General features: G+C 40.3%; 1 long non-coding RNA gene across 1 annotated transcript in view; it reads right to left on the minus strand.

Moving 5' to 3' along the window:
• Positions 1 to 7631: 7631 nt before the first annotated feature.
• The window catches only part of MYOSLID-AS1 (MYOSLID antisense RNA 1), a 67627-nt gene continuing 60415 nt past the window's right edge, over positions 7632 to 14843 (minus strand). Inside the window, exon 4 of the long non-coding RNA NR_110283.1 lies at positions 7632 to 7930. This is a non-coding gene — a long non-coding RNA (MYOSLID antisense RNA 1). The remainder of the gene's footprint in view (positions 7931 to 14843) is intronic.

A 14843-nucleotide genomic window follows, 5' to 3' on the forward strand; every position in this document is an offset into this window, starting at 1 on the left:
CACAGAGATGTTAAGTAACTGATCCTGGACCACACAACATCTAAGTGATAGGAACAGGTGAGGTGACTCCAAAGCCTGCAAGCTTAGTTGGTATCCTTTGCTTTACCCCATCAGATCTCAGAGGGCAGTGTAGATAGACAACACTAGAATGATAAACCCTTTTAAAAACTGCCCTCCTGTAATCCCAGCACTTTTGGAAGCCAAGGTGGGAGGATCACAACGTCAGGAGTTTGAGACCAGCCTGGCCAATATGGTGAAACCCCATCTCTACTAAAAATACAAAAATTAGCTGGGCGTGGTGGCAGGCACATATAGTCCCAGCTACTCATGAGGCTGAGGCAGGAGAATCACTTGAACCTGGGAGGCGGAGGTTGCAGTGAGCCAAGACTGTGCCACTGCACTCCAGCCTGGGCAACAGAGTGAGACTCCATCTCAAAAAAAAAAAAAAAAAAAAAAAAAAAAACCAAAAATAATAAAAATTGGCCGGGCACGGTGGCTCACATCTGTAATCCCAGCACTTTGAGAGGCCAAGGCAGGTGGATTACGAGGTCAAGAGATCGAGACTGTCGTGGCTAACATGATGAAACCCCGTCTCTACTAAAAATACAAAAATTAGCTGGGTATGGTGATGCGTGCCTGTAGTCTCAGCTACTCGGGAGGCTGAGGCAGGAGAACTGCTTGAATCCAGGAGGTGGAGGTTGCAGTGAGCCGAGATCGTGCCACTGCACTCCAGCCTGGTGACAGAGTGAGACTCCGTCTGGAAAAAAAAAAAAAAAAAAAAAAAAAAGCTCTATTAAAATGCTAAGAGCATAGATTATTAATCCCATTTATCAGATTAAAAAAGCTGAGGCTTGGAGGTTAAAGCAACTTGTGTGAAACCACGTAGGAAGTTGCGGCAAAGTGAGTGCTAGTCCCCAAACCCCTTGCACTCTTTCTACTGCCTAACTTTATCCCCAACATGCTGTTACTTCAAATCTGATTAGTGTTGGAGGGAGAGCTACCCATCCTGTGGCCACTCATTAAGTGCAAGCGTTTTCTCCCTGGTGGAAAATGCTCTTGATTATTTACGCCCTTCCCCCACTTTTTTTCTTTGCTACCAGAATCCTAATGCTCTGATTGAAATATGTTCAGTTAAATATATACTTGCCTGGCCTCCCTTGTAGTCAGGGAAGCCAGGGGCACAGTTCTGGCTAATAATGTATGAAAACAAGTCTTCTGGTATGCATTAGTTTTCTGGGGCTGCCATTGCAAAGTACCAAAACCTGGGTGGCTTCTGGAAAGGCAATGTATTGTCCCATAGTTCTGGAGGCTAGAAGTCTGAAATCAAGATGTTTGTAAGCTTGGCTCTGAGGGAAGGATCTACTCCAGGCCTCTCTCCCTGGCTTGTAGATGCATGCTTCTCATTCACATGGTTCTCTCCTAGTATGCATGTCTCTGTGTCCACATTTCCCTTTTTTATATTGGGTTAGGGTCCACCCCAATGACCGTCACCCTTTTAATTTGATTACCTCTGTAAAGACCTATCTCCAAGTAAGTTCAGATTCACAAAGAACAAAAACTATGCTGATTCAGAGGTACTGGAGGTTGGGAAAAACATATCTGGCTTTGGAGAGGACAACACTCAACCCATAATGAGGGGGGCTGGTATGGGTTGCTGGGGAAGCTTTTGCTTTCTTTGTAAAAGGGGACAACCATGGTGTGCCTTCCTTCCACTGCCCCTCCTTCTCTCTGCCTTATATACTGCCTCAGTAGTTGGAGCTACCCAGCCATGTCATTATTATGAGAGAATGACCCAGAGAACTAAGGAACTGAACCTATACCAGAAACTGCCTGAGTCTGGATATCTTGTTACATAAGAAAAATAAACCCCTATGCTAAAAGTCATGTAGTTGGGTTTTCTGTTACTCATAGCCAAACACATTCCTAACATATTACCATTCTCAAAAATCTAGCTTTGTATGATTTTATCAAATAATACCAATTAATCCAAAGTAATTATCAGGCTATGTTTACAAATGATTTAGATGGAGAATGGGGTTGAGCAAATCAAGCAATGAAATGTTTTGAAAACAATGTCTAAGAAAAATATGTTCACTGTGAAATACTATACAGCCATAAAAAGAATGCAATCATGTCTTTTACAACAACATAGATGCTGCTGGAGGCCACTATCCTAAGCAAGTTAATGCAGGAACAGAAAACCAAATACCACATGTTCTCACTTATAAGGGGGAGCTAAACATTGGCTGCTCATAGACTAAAGAGGGCAACAATAGTCAGTAGGGACTACTCGAATGGAGAGGAAGGGAGTGGAACAAGGGTTAAAAACAACCACCAATTGGCAACTATGCTCAGTACCTGGGTGATGGGATCAATCGTACCGCAAACCTCAGCATCATGCAATATACCCATGTAACAAACCCACACATGTACCTCCTAAATCTAAAATTTTTAAGTTGAAATTATTTTTTAAAAAGTGTGTATGTTGAAAGCTGTGCACCAACAGCTTCAAGCTTCCTATTGTTGCTTGTTTTTGAAGGTGACTGGTGTCTTCCAGGCCCCAATGTTGTTCTTGAAAAGCCAATAAAAAAGATCCTGTTTGCTATTCTTAGCATTTATATATACTAAGGCTGGTGTGAGAAAGAATAAGGTCATGGGTTGTTACCCTCAACGGTGGACATTTTAGCAAGTCCCTCTGTGTATTTTGATGATTGAACATGAAATCATCTCTGCGGTTAAATTTTATTGCTTTCAATGCACCTCGGTTTCCCTTCTCATGCTGGGTCCTGTAATGATCTTTCTGGAGTTTGTTTGGAAAGTCAAAGAAGTCTGACAATGGTGGCTGTTTTGTCTCCAGGTATTGCGAGTGTGAAAGAAACCATTGGGGACGGGGCAAGATATCCTGCCAATGAGCCAGGTAGGATGTCCTTTGAACAGGACAGGGCCTAGGGTAGGGCATGGAGTCGCACTCTCAGTGTTGTGCAAGCTCAGGCTTAGTGCCTGCAGGCCCTGAAGCTGGGTGCCTCTTAAGTGTTCACCCTGGATGCTTCTCTTGCCTCTCCCTAGTCCTAGCCCTGCCTCTGAGTAAGAATAATCTCTAATGGACACCATTATCCTCTTGCACTCATTTTAGTCGTTGTATGTCTGCTTCTAGGTTCTAACCTGGAAGTTTTAATTAGTTTTAGTTGAACAGCTATTTTTTAAAGCCATAATCCCGAGAACACATTGAGAGAGGAAGAGATTTTCATTCTTTCATACCCAGGCATTTAATATTTTACAATGGTAACTCTAAATAACTGAGTACCTAGGTTTGAGGCACTGTACTCATATTGCATAGGTGTGTTGCATATATAATGTGCAAAACTCACTAAGAAATTCTGCAACCTAGGCATTCATAGCCCAACCGAGAGATGAAATGCCAGGCCCAGGCCCCACAGAGGAGAGGGCCACTCTCCAACATAAGACTATCTTGCTCCACGTCGACTTGCTGCCTGTTTGACTCCCCTCCCTTCGGGCCTCAAAATCTCTGCTTTCTAAACTTTTCTGGTATTAACTGCCTCAATCACCACAAATACTATCTCTGTATCTCCTGGTCAAATTTTTCTTACTTGACTAAAAGATTTTATTATTGCTTTGCTTCTGTGGTTTCTTTCTCTTTTCCACTCAAAAAAAAGAAAATCATTGAGTTGAGAGTAGATCAGTATGTCAAGTTTTCTCAAAACATTCTTTAAAGCCATTTTCTGACTTAAATGTCTAGAAGGCAAAGCTAAATGGGGCCACCAGGTAAGAAAGCAGGACAGCTCCACACACTTAGGGGAATGAGGAGGGAGAAAATGGAAAGAAAAAATATCTTATTAGGTTTTGTAGGTCAGGGAAATCCTTTCTAGCCTGGATTTTAAAACTTCTGAATTTTAATTGAAAGTATTTCTCCAGGGTATTTACTTTAACATGACTGTGCACTCTCAAAAAAAATTCCCTATCCATGTAAGAAAAATAGTACAAATTCCAGGAAGGCAAAATTGCATTAGAAGGAAGAATTTGATGATGTGCCCTTTCTGCTTCGGACAGTAACCATGAAATTGCTGGCAGCCGCAAAAGCTTCCAGACTTCTATTGAGCATCTCTGCTGGGAAAAACATAATGCTTCAGGGTATGATACATGACTCCATACTCCCACCTAGGAATCACCATTAATTCTTAAAAGAAGTGAGCAATATTCCCCTCAAGATTTATGACCATCCACTAAAGAAAATGTCCCCAAATTTGACAGTAGAAGATTGGTTTAATCTGGGGGCTGTTGTTAGAAAGGTATGAAAGTTAATGAACAAAACTTGACGTCTCCCTGATTTCTCCAGTTTTGACCTCAAATGCAAAATAATGCTTGTTCCCTGTATAACACACACACACACACACACACACACACACACACACACACTCTCTCTCTCTCTCTCTCTCTCTCTCCAAAAGATAGAAATTCTCAGTTGCTCACTTATAACAAGCACAGAATCAAATGCTAAGTGTTAACCACTCATCTTTTAAAAATTCATGTCTACAGAGTACATCTTGGCCCAAACTAGAAATTACTTTATTCTCTTCTTTCTGCATGTTGACTTTTTATCATAACTGTTAACATCATTCTTAGTAATAATGAGGATTATAAGAATACACTGGTTTAAATAGTGTTATCTGTCTTTCTGACTCAATGTATATTTTTATATTGTATCTCCTTATCTTCATTGCATTCCTATAAAGCAGGTTGCTTATCATTTCTGATTTATAGATGTAAAAACCAGGGCATTGCAAAGCAAGATGATATGAAGTCAAATAGTAATGAAAAAATTGGTCCTTTTACCCACTCTCTATATTAGAATTAATTCACTCCCCCTGAAATTCAGGAAATGGGCTGGGGTGCGGTGGCTCACGCCTGTAATCCCAGCACTTTGGGAGGCCGAGGGAGGCAGATCACCTGAGGTCAGGAGTTCAAGAGCAGCCTGGCCAACATGACGAAACCCCATCTCTACTAAAAATACAAAAAGTCGCTGGGTGTGGTGGTGGGCGCCTATAATCCCAGCTACTCAGGAGGCTGAGGCAAGAGAATTGCTTGAACCTGGGAGGCAGAGGTGGCAGTGAGCCTAGATCGCGCCACTACACTCTAGCCTGGGGACAGAGCGAGACTCTGTCTCAAAAAAAAAAAAAAAAGAAAGAAAAAGAAAAAAGAAACAAATAACAACAACAACAAAAAACACAAGACAGAAAATGGAGTGTAACAATACATAAAAAAGAATTTTCAGTTGAAAAAGTGATTTAGCCTTAGCACATGTTTCCAAATTAGGGGTCTTTCTTTCAAATTGCCTTTAAACATAGTACAGAAAACGGGGTAATTTGGGTGCTTTCAAAGCTGACCCACCTGAACCAGGGCATTTTAGGACAACCTTGTAGGAACTCTGAGTCAAATTCTTGTGATGCTATGACTAAGTATCATGCTTTGGCTGCTTTCCCCCACCTCTTACTCAGATTCCCCCAGCCCCCTTCTTAAGGAGAATCCCTTTAACCCCTCCTAGGAAATATCCCTTCCCATAGCACTTCAGAGTCTTTGCGGCAACTCTGCTGCAATGTCCCCACTTGACACTGTGCTCCTTGTTGTGGTGTTAGGGCTAAGTTTCCCTTTCATGGGACTCCAAGCTAGAAGTTGGTCTCAGCACTAATGAAAGATGCACAGTATGTCCATTGCTCAGTCAGCCGTTCTGATCCACTGCTGAGGTTGCAGGTGTTCCTTGTCTCCAGGTTGCTGCTTGATTCGTGGGAACCACCCCCAATCCCCCTCCCACTTTCCACTCAGGTTCTGTTCTACAAGTCTCAGGGATCTCTGCACCACAGGAGACTCAGAGACAACAGGATATGGGTATGGTCATAACCTTCCACTGTCAGCATGTAGAACATAGGATGATTCAGCTCCACCATGAAATGAGAAGATAGAGGGAGGGAAACCATCCACTGTCTGCAACCTGAGAGACTGTTCACCTCCCCCCTCAGCAGCGGTAGGGTAGAAGTGGCACTAACCGATCTAATATTCAGGTAGTCAGGGTTCTAATTCTAGCTCGGGCACTTTCTTTGCCTCAATTTTTACATTTAGACCTAACAACTTTTTTTTCCTGGTAATGACTGTCCATCAGCCACATGTTCCTAGATTTTAGTATAATATTTTTACTGGGCAGTTATTGGATTTTGGTCATCTAGCATCTGTAACTGCTTGCTTTGATAACTGTACTCTGACTTTCCTCTGAGAACTCCGTCTGCTCTAGTCACAGCCCATGAGCTCCAGGATGGAGTTGATGTCTTCTCAGCTCCAGGTATGAAGCATGTGAACCGACCCTGACCCATCAGCAGTTCCTATTTCCTTGGGTTACGTGGTTGATTCAGAGATGGGCAGCCAATCAGAGTGAATTTCAGAACTTTCCTAGACGCTGCCTGAAGAGACTTGCTCTAGCTCCATCAATCTGAGTGTTGGGTGTTGTCATGCTTGGAGCCTAAAGCCACTGAACCATATCACGTACAGTCTGAGAATGAGCCAGCCTATGAGAAGCAATGAAGCAGAGCCAAGAAATGGATCCTGGTGGCTTTGTTGAGGGCTGAATCACACTGACCCGAAGCTGTACCTGTTCTTGTACCTTTAGAAACAAAACCCTTTTGCCAGGTGCGGTGGCTCACACCTGTAATCCCAGCAGTTTGGGAGGCTGAGGCAGGTGGATCACCTGAGGTCAGGAGTTTGAGACTAGCCTGGCCAACATGGTGAAACTCCATCTCTACTAAAAATACAAAAAATTAGCCGGACGCGGTGGCAGGCACCTGTGTTTCCAGCTACTCGGGAGGCTGAGGCAGGAGAATCACTTGAACCCAGGGGGCGGAGGTTGCAGTGAGCCGAGATCGTGCCATTGCACTCCAGCCTGGGCAACAAGAGCAAAACTCTGTCTCAAAAAAAAAAAAAAAAAAAAAAAAGCCAGTTTAAGTTGTGTCCTCTGTCACAATGTCCATAAAAAAATCTACTAACTGACATACTATCTTACTTTTTCTCACTGCTTATATTTTCATAAAAACTGGCTTAGCCAATACACAGTTTTACTGTGAACAGCAAATAAGATAATGCATACGAAGGAAATTTCAAGAAATTTGAAAGCATGAAAGATTAGTGTCATTCCACCATAAAGGTAAACTCCTCTTGCTGTTTTTTTTCTCTTCAGTTATGATATTTAAAATCTGATTCCTGTGAAGAAGTTGTGCAAACTGACTTATGAAAGAAGACTTAGTCCATTAAAGGTTATTTGGCTGGATTTTTCTTTCCTTCCTTTTGGAATTGACCTCAGTAAAACATAAGCCCAACTGAATGAGCCTCTCATCCTAAATTCCTGCTAGTCCCTAACTGCCCCACCTCCTATCACCAAGTTCTATCAAATACTTTTTAAATGTCCAGTTAATCCATTCATTTCTTGCCACTACCTTAAATAAGGTTCTCGTTTTTTCCTGAACTTGGATTGTAGTGTAGGCCACTGAGGGAGGAAATGCAGGAGGCATTTCAGCTTTAGTTGGAATATTGGTTATATAATTGCTGCATAACAAATTACCCCTAAACTTAGTGGCCCAAAATAACAATAAACATATATTATTTCACAGTTTATGTGGGGTAGAGTTTGAGAGTGGCTTAGAGGGTTCTGGTTCAGGGTCTTTTATGAGGTTATAGTCAGTATATTGGCTGAGGTTACTGTCATCTGAAGGCTTGATTGGGGCTGAAGATCTGCTTTCAGTTTAGCTTGTTCACATGCTTGGCAAGTTGGGGCTGGTTGTTGGCAGAAGGTATCTTTCATGCCACATAGTCCTCTGCACAGGGCTGTTGAGGGTCCTCATGACATAGCTGCAGGCTTCCCCTAGAGCAAATGCTGCAAGAAAGAACAAGAAAGAAGCCACAATGTCTTTATGAACAAGCCTCAGAAGACATGCTTCATCATTTCCACAATGTTCTTTTGGTTACACTGATCAGCCCCATCTAATATAGGAAGGGGTACACAAGGGCATAAATACCAAGAGACAGGGATGTCATCTTGGCTACCACAGTTAGGAAGTGGCTACCAAGACAAGTGTCATCTTGGCTACCACAGTTAGGAAGAATGAAAATGTCAGTTTGGGATGTTCAGTTTTGGATATAAACTAGTTCAACAGTGTCAAGGTAGAGATGGACAGTAAAGAGCTGGATTGATGGGTTGTAGTTCAGAAGAAAGATAGGCATTGGTGAAACCATGCCCCGGAGAGTTAAAGAAACCAACTAACTGACAGAAATTTTTGAGTTTGAGGGATGGCAGATAAGAAAAGAAACAACTTGTTGAAACACAGAAACTTCTTCCATTTATGAAATTTTAAAAACTGACTGAAATTCGGTTGAAACCAATATGGCCAACTGTACTGTGCACAGAACAAGCTTGCTGATGTTGCAGCCCAAATTTCCATTGCATGTTTCATACTAACTCCCCCCAAATTTGCACATGCAACCCACGAGGTAGCATAAAGAGATAACTGCACATGCCCCAGGACTTTCCAAACGTCCCCCTTCCTTCCAAAAATCACTCATGAATCCTAGAATCCACCCCTAGACCTTTTCTACTAAACATACTGCTTTAAACCAGCACAAGAAGACAGATTTGAGGCTGGACTCCTATCTCCTTATTGGTTGACCTGTGGTAAAAACTTTTCTTTTCTCACAAATCTGGTACCATAATTTTGGCTTCTAGTGTATCATGCAGTGAGCCCCTTGTGCTTGGTAACATGAGGATTCATCAGCACAAGGATAGCAGCTGAAGCCATGGGAGTGAGTAAGATCACCTGGGAAGAGTGAGAACATGAAGGACTGAATTATCAATATCTAAGGATGGATAGGGAAAGAAGAGCCTGCCCAGAAGACTAAGAACTATGTAGGGGTGGAGGGAAAGCCAATATACAGCAATATCATGGAAGGAAGGAAAATCTCCAAGTTCCCACTGAACTCTAGAATTCTATGATCCCAGTTGTCATCTATAATGATAGTGGGTTTTGCTAAGGGACCGATACAATTAAAATAAAATGGGGGAAAAAAACAAAGGTCCTTAAAAGTTGATATCTACTGGATTAAATGTCTCATTGTCTTTGAAACACAAATGGAGAATTATTTCATTTTTGGTGGAGGTGATAGATTTTGTTTTTTGTTTTTCTTCTTTTGCAAGTTGAATGTTTTGTTTCTCTATACATTCTTTCCATATATTTCCTCCAAATCTTTTCTGGTCATTAAAAGAATACTGATTATTATCTGAAATATCAGACTTGGTTATCAACCTGTCATACTTTCCTCCTGTCTGTTGAGGCAGTAATCATTCAATTATGTCCTCTGAGATTTTGAAGGTTCCAGAGTCTCTAGACCACCATGGGGTTTAGGGCACCAGGGAATAGCATAGTTTATAAGAATTCTTCCAGGCTTAGAGTTTTGGGTTGGTTGATTGGTGCTTTGGTGAGCTCTAATTGTGAAAATAAAGCTTTAGGAAACACACATTTAATAGAAATATGAATGAGTCACAAATACATTAGATTTTTTGTTTTGTTTGTTTTTTGCCTTTGAAAGCCTTCAGGTTGGGTCTGTGTGGCTTAGAGATTTGTTTTGTTTTGTTTAGGACTATTTTAGTCAGTCTGTGAGCTATTTATCCAGCACCTGACCAAATATATTTGCTCTGACCCATTTCATAGACAGCTGTTTTCTATTTACTTTCCAGGAAGAAAAGTGCTTGGTCAGCCAAGAAAAATACTGCAAATGTTAGCAAGGGAATCTGTGTGACAGCTTAGCAAACCAATTGTATTTTGACCCTCTTCTCTATATGCTGAAGGGTTCAAGTTCAAGTCCCTTCAGGTGGGATTGAATCGGGAGGAAAATAAACTAAATTTATGTTACTATATAAATCAAATTTTTTCCATGTAAATGAGACCTACAAATGGGATTAAAACTTGCACTCCTGAATATCTTATAATGGTAATTGACAATACTAGTATCACCAATTTTCTTCCCTCTCCTTCCTTCATTACTGAAAAGGCACAGGAAACACTTCATTCATTTCTGGAATATAGCCACCTCTGTCATGGAAAGCAACAAATGTTATTTAACAGCTACACAATAAAGCATTTCACAATAGTGTACAAAGATAGTCGAGGCCAAAGGAAGCTACTGTCCCATGTGAATTTATCTGACGCTTAGCTGAAATGCTGTTAGGATGGCTGTGCATTCATCACCTTGGGGAATGCCCTATTTATGGCTTGAATTGTACTCATGTCCCCCCACAACAAAATTTGTATGTCGAAGTCCTAACCCCCTAATGCCTCAGAATGTGACTATATTTGGGGATAGAGTTTTAAAAGAGGTAACTAAGTTAAAATGAGGTTATTAGGGTGGGCCCTAATTCAACGTGACTGGTGTCCTAATAAGAGATTAGGATACACACACACAGAGGGAAGATCATGTGAAGAAACAGGGAGAAGGTGACCATCTACAAGAAAGAGAGAAGGCTCAGAAAAAAACAACCCCACCAACACCTGGAACTCAGACTAATACAATTCTGTTGTTGAAGCCACCCAGTCTGTGGTACTTTCTTATGCCAGCCCCAGCAGAGTAATGCAGCTGCAATGTAAGGCAGAAAGAGCTCTGCTGCCTGGATTTATGACATGATTGGATCTCTAAGTCTCAGGAACCCAAGGTACATCGGGCAATGTGACTCCCTCCACTTCTGCCCTTGTCAGCCGATCAGCCCTCTACCCCTGAGTCTCATCTAAATCCGTTCTTGGATTTAGCTACTTTTTTAATCCAGGTGCAACATGTTGCAATCTAAATTAGCCCCAACAATAAGTAGCTAGAGAGCTTCATTCCTTTCAGTGCATGCACACACATGCAAACACACTTTCTGTGTTAATAACTAATAAATATTCTAATAAGTGTTCTAATGGCCACAAGAGGCAAATTCTTAGCAAGCCAAGGTACTCTTGTAAATGAGCTACATGGGAGAAATTCAGAGCCCATTTATGTTATGTCCCTTCAGCCATATATTAAGACACGAGGATTTAAAATGAATCTGTCAGGTGTGTAGTGAAAAGCCCCCTCTTAGACGGTTTTTTTTTTTTGGCTTCTTAATTTAATTTAGAATATATATTTGGGAGTATGCCCACAAACATGAATTAAACAAAGGAGATGGAGACCATTAACATAGGAAGTAAAATAAGTGCTAAAAAATCATTTTTAAAATCTGAATTACATTATCCTAATTAATGCATAATGTTTATGGAATTTTTGCTCTTTAGGGCAACACTGTTTTCTCTGGATCTCCTAACTTCCCTGGAAGGGAGGCAACAGAAAGAGAGGGGACAGGAGCTTCAGTTTACAAACGGAAAGGCAAAGGCACAGAGAAAAATCCCGTCAGGCTCTGCATCACCATTTAATGCAGGGGTTCTCAGTCTTGCCTGGGCACTCTTCCCTCTAAGAACATCTTATGCACACACCCTCAAAGTACATCTTTACTCATTTCTTTGTAAATGGTATACTTGTACTACTGTATAATGCAGCATGGACATTAAAAAGCATACACCAAAAATAGTGACTTTGTAAGGATGAGTTTAAAATTCATTTTCCTCTCGTGGATTATCTTGTGTTATCATTCTGCTTTGGAAATCACTGAATTATTAAAAAGGGTGTGGGAATGGAGGCAGATCCTTGGGCTTCCTCAAACACATGTATTTGATCATCCTGCCTCTCCAGCTTTAAAAAGTAAGTAATCTTGTGTGTGCAAAGGAGCATGTGCCATGCACTGCTTATACTCAGGGCCACAATATCATCTCTTTAGAAACTCCCTGTGGATCATACATGAAGCAGAAACATATGGTCTTTTTTTCTTTTCTGTTGGCAGTCCCTATGGCCATGGTATCATTGGTCCAAATACTCAAGTTTACCTGGAATTATACTCTAAGGTATGGTCATATGTTGCAATTAAACATCACAATGGAAGAAAACAATAGGGTGATGAGAATTAGCTGAGCACATTAAAGATTTTAGTCTCTTTGTCACTGTAAGTGAAGACAAATATGTAGGATAAATTAAGGCAAGCGTCTTCTCCCGGCAACAGATACGTGGAATCAAGCACTTATTTTAAGCCAGGCAATTTCTTTTGTTTTATTTCAACTTATTTTTCTTTGTATTAAGTTTGAGTTAAATTAAAATCCACTCTTATTGTTTAAAGCAGTGTGACATTACCTAGTATAATAAAAACATTTCTAGTTATCTAATCTCTCTTAAAGCAGCTTTTTCTGGGCAGTCAATGATTATGTCTGGGTTGTGGGATACAGTGTGGTTTTTGTTTGCTTGCTTTGTTTTTACTTCCTGCCTTTACTCTTCCATATTCAAAGTATCTTAGCCATGTAAATATATATATATAGAGAGAGACAGTTGAGAGTACAAAAACTATAAAGTAATTTTCCTTTTAAAAAAAGTCAGATATTTACATCTAAAGGAATGAATAAATAAATCTGAAAAGTTGTTTGCCTGCAATGTTGAAAGACTTTGTAGATCAGAGCAAAACAGAAGATATAGTTCTCTGGGGGTTAACTGCATATGTTGTCCCTATGGAAATGAAAATGTGGCCAGCTTTGATGTCCCTCCCACACTCCCGTCAAGTAGAGACAGGTTACACATCCCCACCTCTCCTGCACTGTCTATTTCATGATCAAAGGTACCCCCATCTGCAAGATAACTGGTTAGACTTTCAAGACACTACCTCAGCCCTAAAACCAATGTTTATATTTAGCTGAATAAATTATAAAAGTCCCAAGTCACAGGAACTTGAGATTTTAAAGCTGGATGATATTTCAGAAATCATCTAGTGATTCAGTCCCTGAACTTTCCAGCTGAAGACATCACAGCCCAGAGAAATGAAGTGTCTTACTCAAATTCACCAACATGTTAGGGACAGAGACTGGACTTGACCTTGTGCTTTTTTTTTTAACTTTTATTTTAAGTTCAGGGGTACATGTGCAGGATATGCAGGTTTGTTACATAGGTAAGCATGTGTCATGGGGGTTGTTGTACAGATTATTTCATCACCCAGGTATTAAGCCTAGTATTCATTAGTTATTTTTCCTGATTGTCTTCCTCCTCCCACCCTCCACCCTCCAACAAGCCTCAGTGTTTGTTGTTCCCCTCTATGTGTGTCTATGTCTTCTCTTCATTTAGCTCCCCCTTATAAGTGAGAACATGTGGTATTTGGTTTTCTGTTCCTGCATTAATTTCTAAGGGTAATGGGCTCCAGCTCCATTTATGTTCCTGAAAAGGACATGATTTCATTTTTTATGGCTGCATAGTATTCTATGGTATATATATTTCACATTTTCTTTATCCAGTCTATCATTGATGGGCATTTGGGTTGACTCCATGTCTTTGCTATTGTGAATAGTGCTGCAGTGAACATATGCATGCATGTGTCTAAGTGGCAAAGGACATGAACAGACACTTCTCAAAAGAAGACATATATGCAGCCAACACGCATATGCAAAAAAGCTCATCACTGATCATTAGAGAAATGAAAATCAAAACCACAATGAGATATCATCTCACACCAGTCAGAATGGCTATTATTAAAAAGTTAAAAAATAACAGATGCTGGTGAGGTTGTAGAGAAAAAGGAACGCTTATACATTGTTGGTGGGAGTGTAAATTAGTTCAAATATTGTGGAAGACGGTGTGGTGATTCCTCAAAGACCTAAAGACAGAAATATCATTCCACCCAGCAATCCTATTACTGGGTATATATCCAAAGTAATATAAGCCTTGTAATTCTTACTTGAAGCTCAACAACAGCCACTGTGTTGATCCTGGGCTTGGCACATTTCTGGTTCTCATTTCATTTGTCCTGGCTTATGACTTCTTTTTATGGCTTTATTATTGTTTTAGTATTCTTAAGTGGTCTCACACTATTTGGATAAGAGATGGAGGACTATATATTTATATTGTAAAGGTCAGGAGAGCTCTCCTAACTCCCAATCTAGTGCTCTTTCCAAAGAGGGAAAGGAGGACTGTGGACTTATTATTGTTCCTTCACTGTCGCTGACAATATCTGCTGTGTCTGTGGAGCCACGAAGGCTCGAAGTAGCAAGCAGCATATCATGCACACTCACAGACTTCCTTCCTAAGTGGAAATTCCTAAAAAGTGATTTTAAAATACGTTTGCAGGTAATAGAGAAAATTTACGTATCTATTCAATAACTTTTCTCATAATCATGAATATTCCATCTTTACCAAAGGTGAAAATAGAAATCCTTGTTAGAAATCTTTACAATGGAGAGCTTTAAAATGTAAAATAAGTGTCTATTTGGGAGAATTTAAATTTGTGCAAAGTAGTTTTGTATTTACTTAACGAACCAAGAGATAAAAGCTAAGAAAAGAAACATTTGTAAAGAATAGTTTGAGACAGCAACAGCAATAGATGTAGCAGTAGATGACGCTTAGAAGGTGAAAGATATTCTTTTCTGGGAAATACAGTTGATCTTCTATTACACTTCCTTTTCCATAGAAATACACTAGGGATGATGTCAGAAAGACAATGATGTGGAAAATCTTAAGGTCTTTGACTGACTACAGAATCAACGATTAAAATCTATTGTTTTAAAAAAGTATCTACGTAACATTTGAGTGATACAGGGAATAGGGAAAAAATGCATTGAATTTTTCTGACTTTGAAAACACAGCTAATTAGCAGTAATGCTGAAAGGAACAGTAAGTTGAGCTTCCAGGTCCAGTAGGAA

The sequence above is a fragment of the Homo sapiens genome, chromosome 2 (assembly GCF_000001405.40).
Source record: "Homo sapiens chromosome 2, GRCh38.p14 Primary Assembly".
Lineage (NCBI taxonomy): Eukaryota > Metazoa > Chordata > Mammalia > Primates > Hominidae > Homo > Homo sapiens.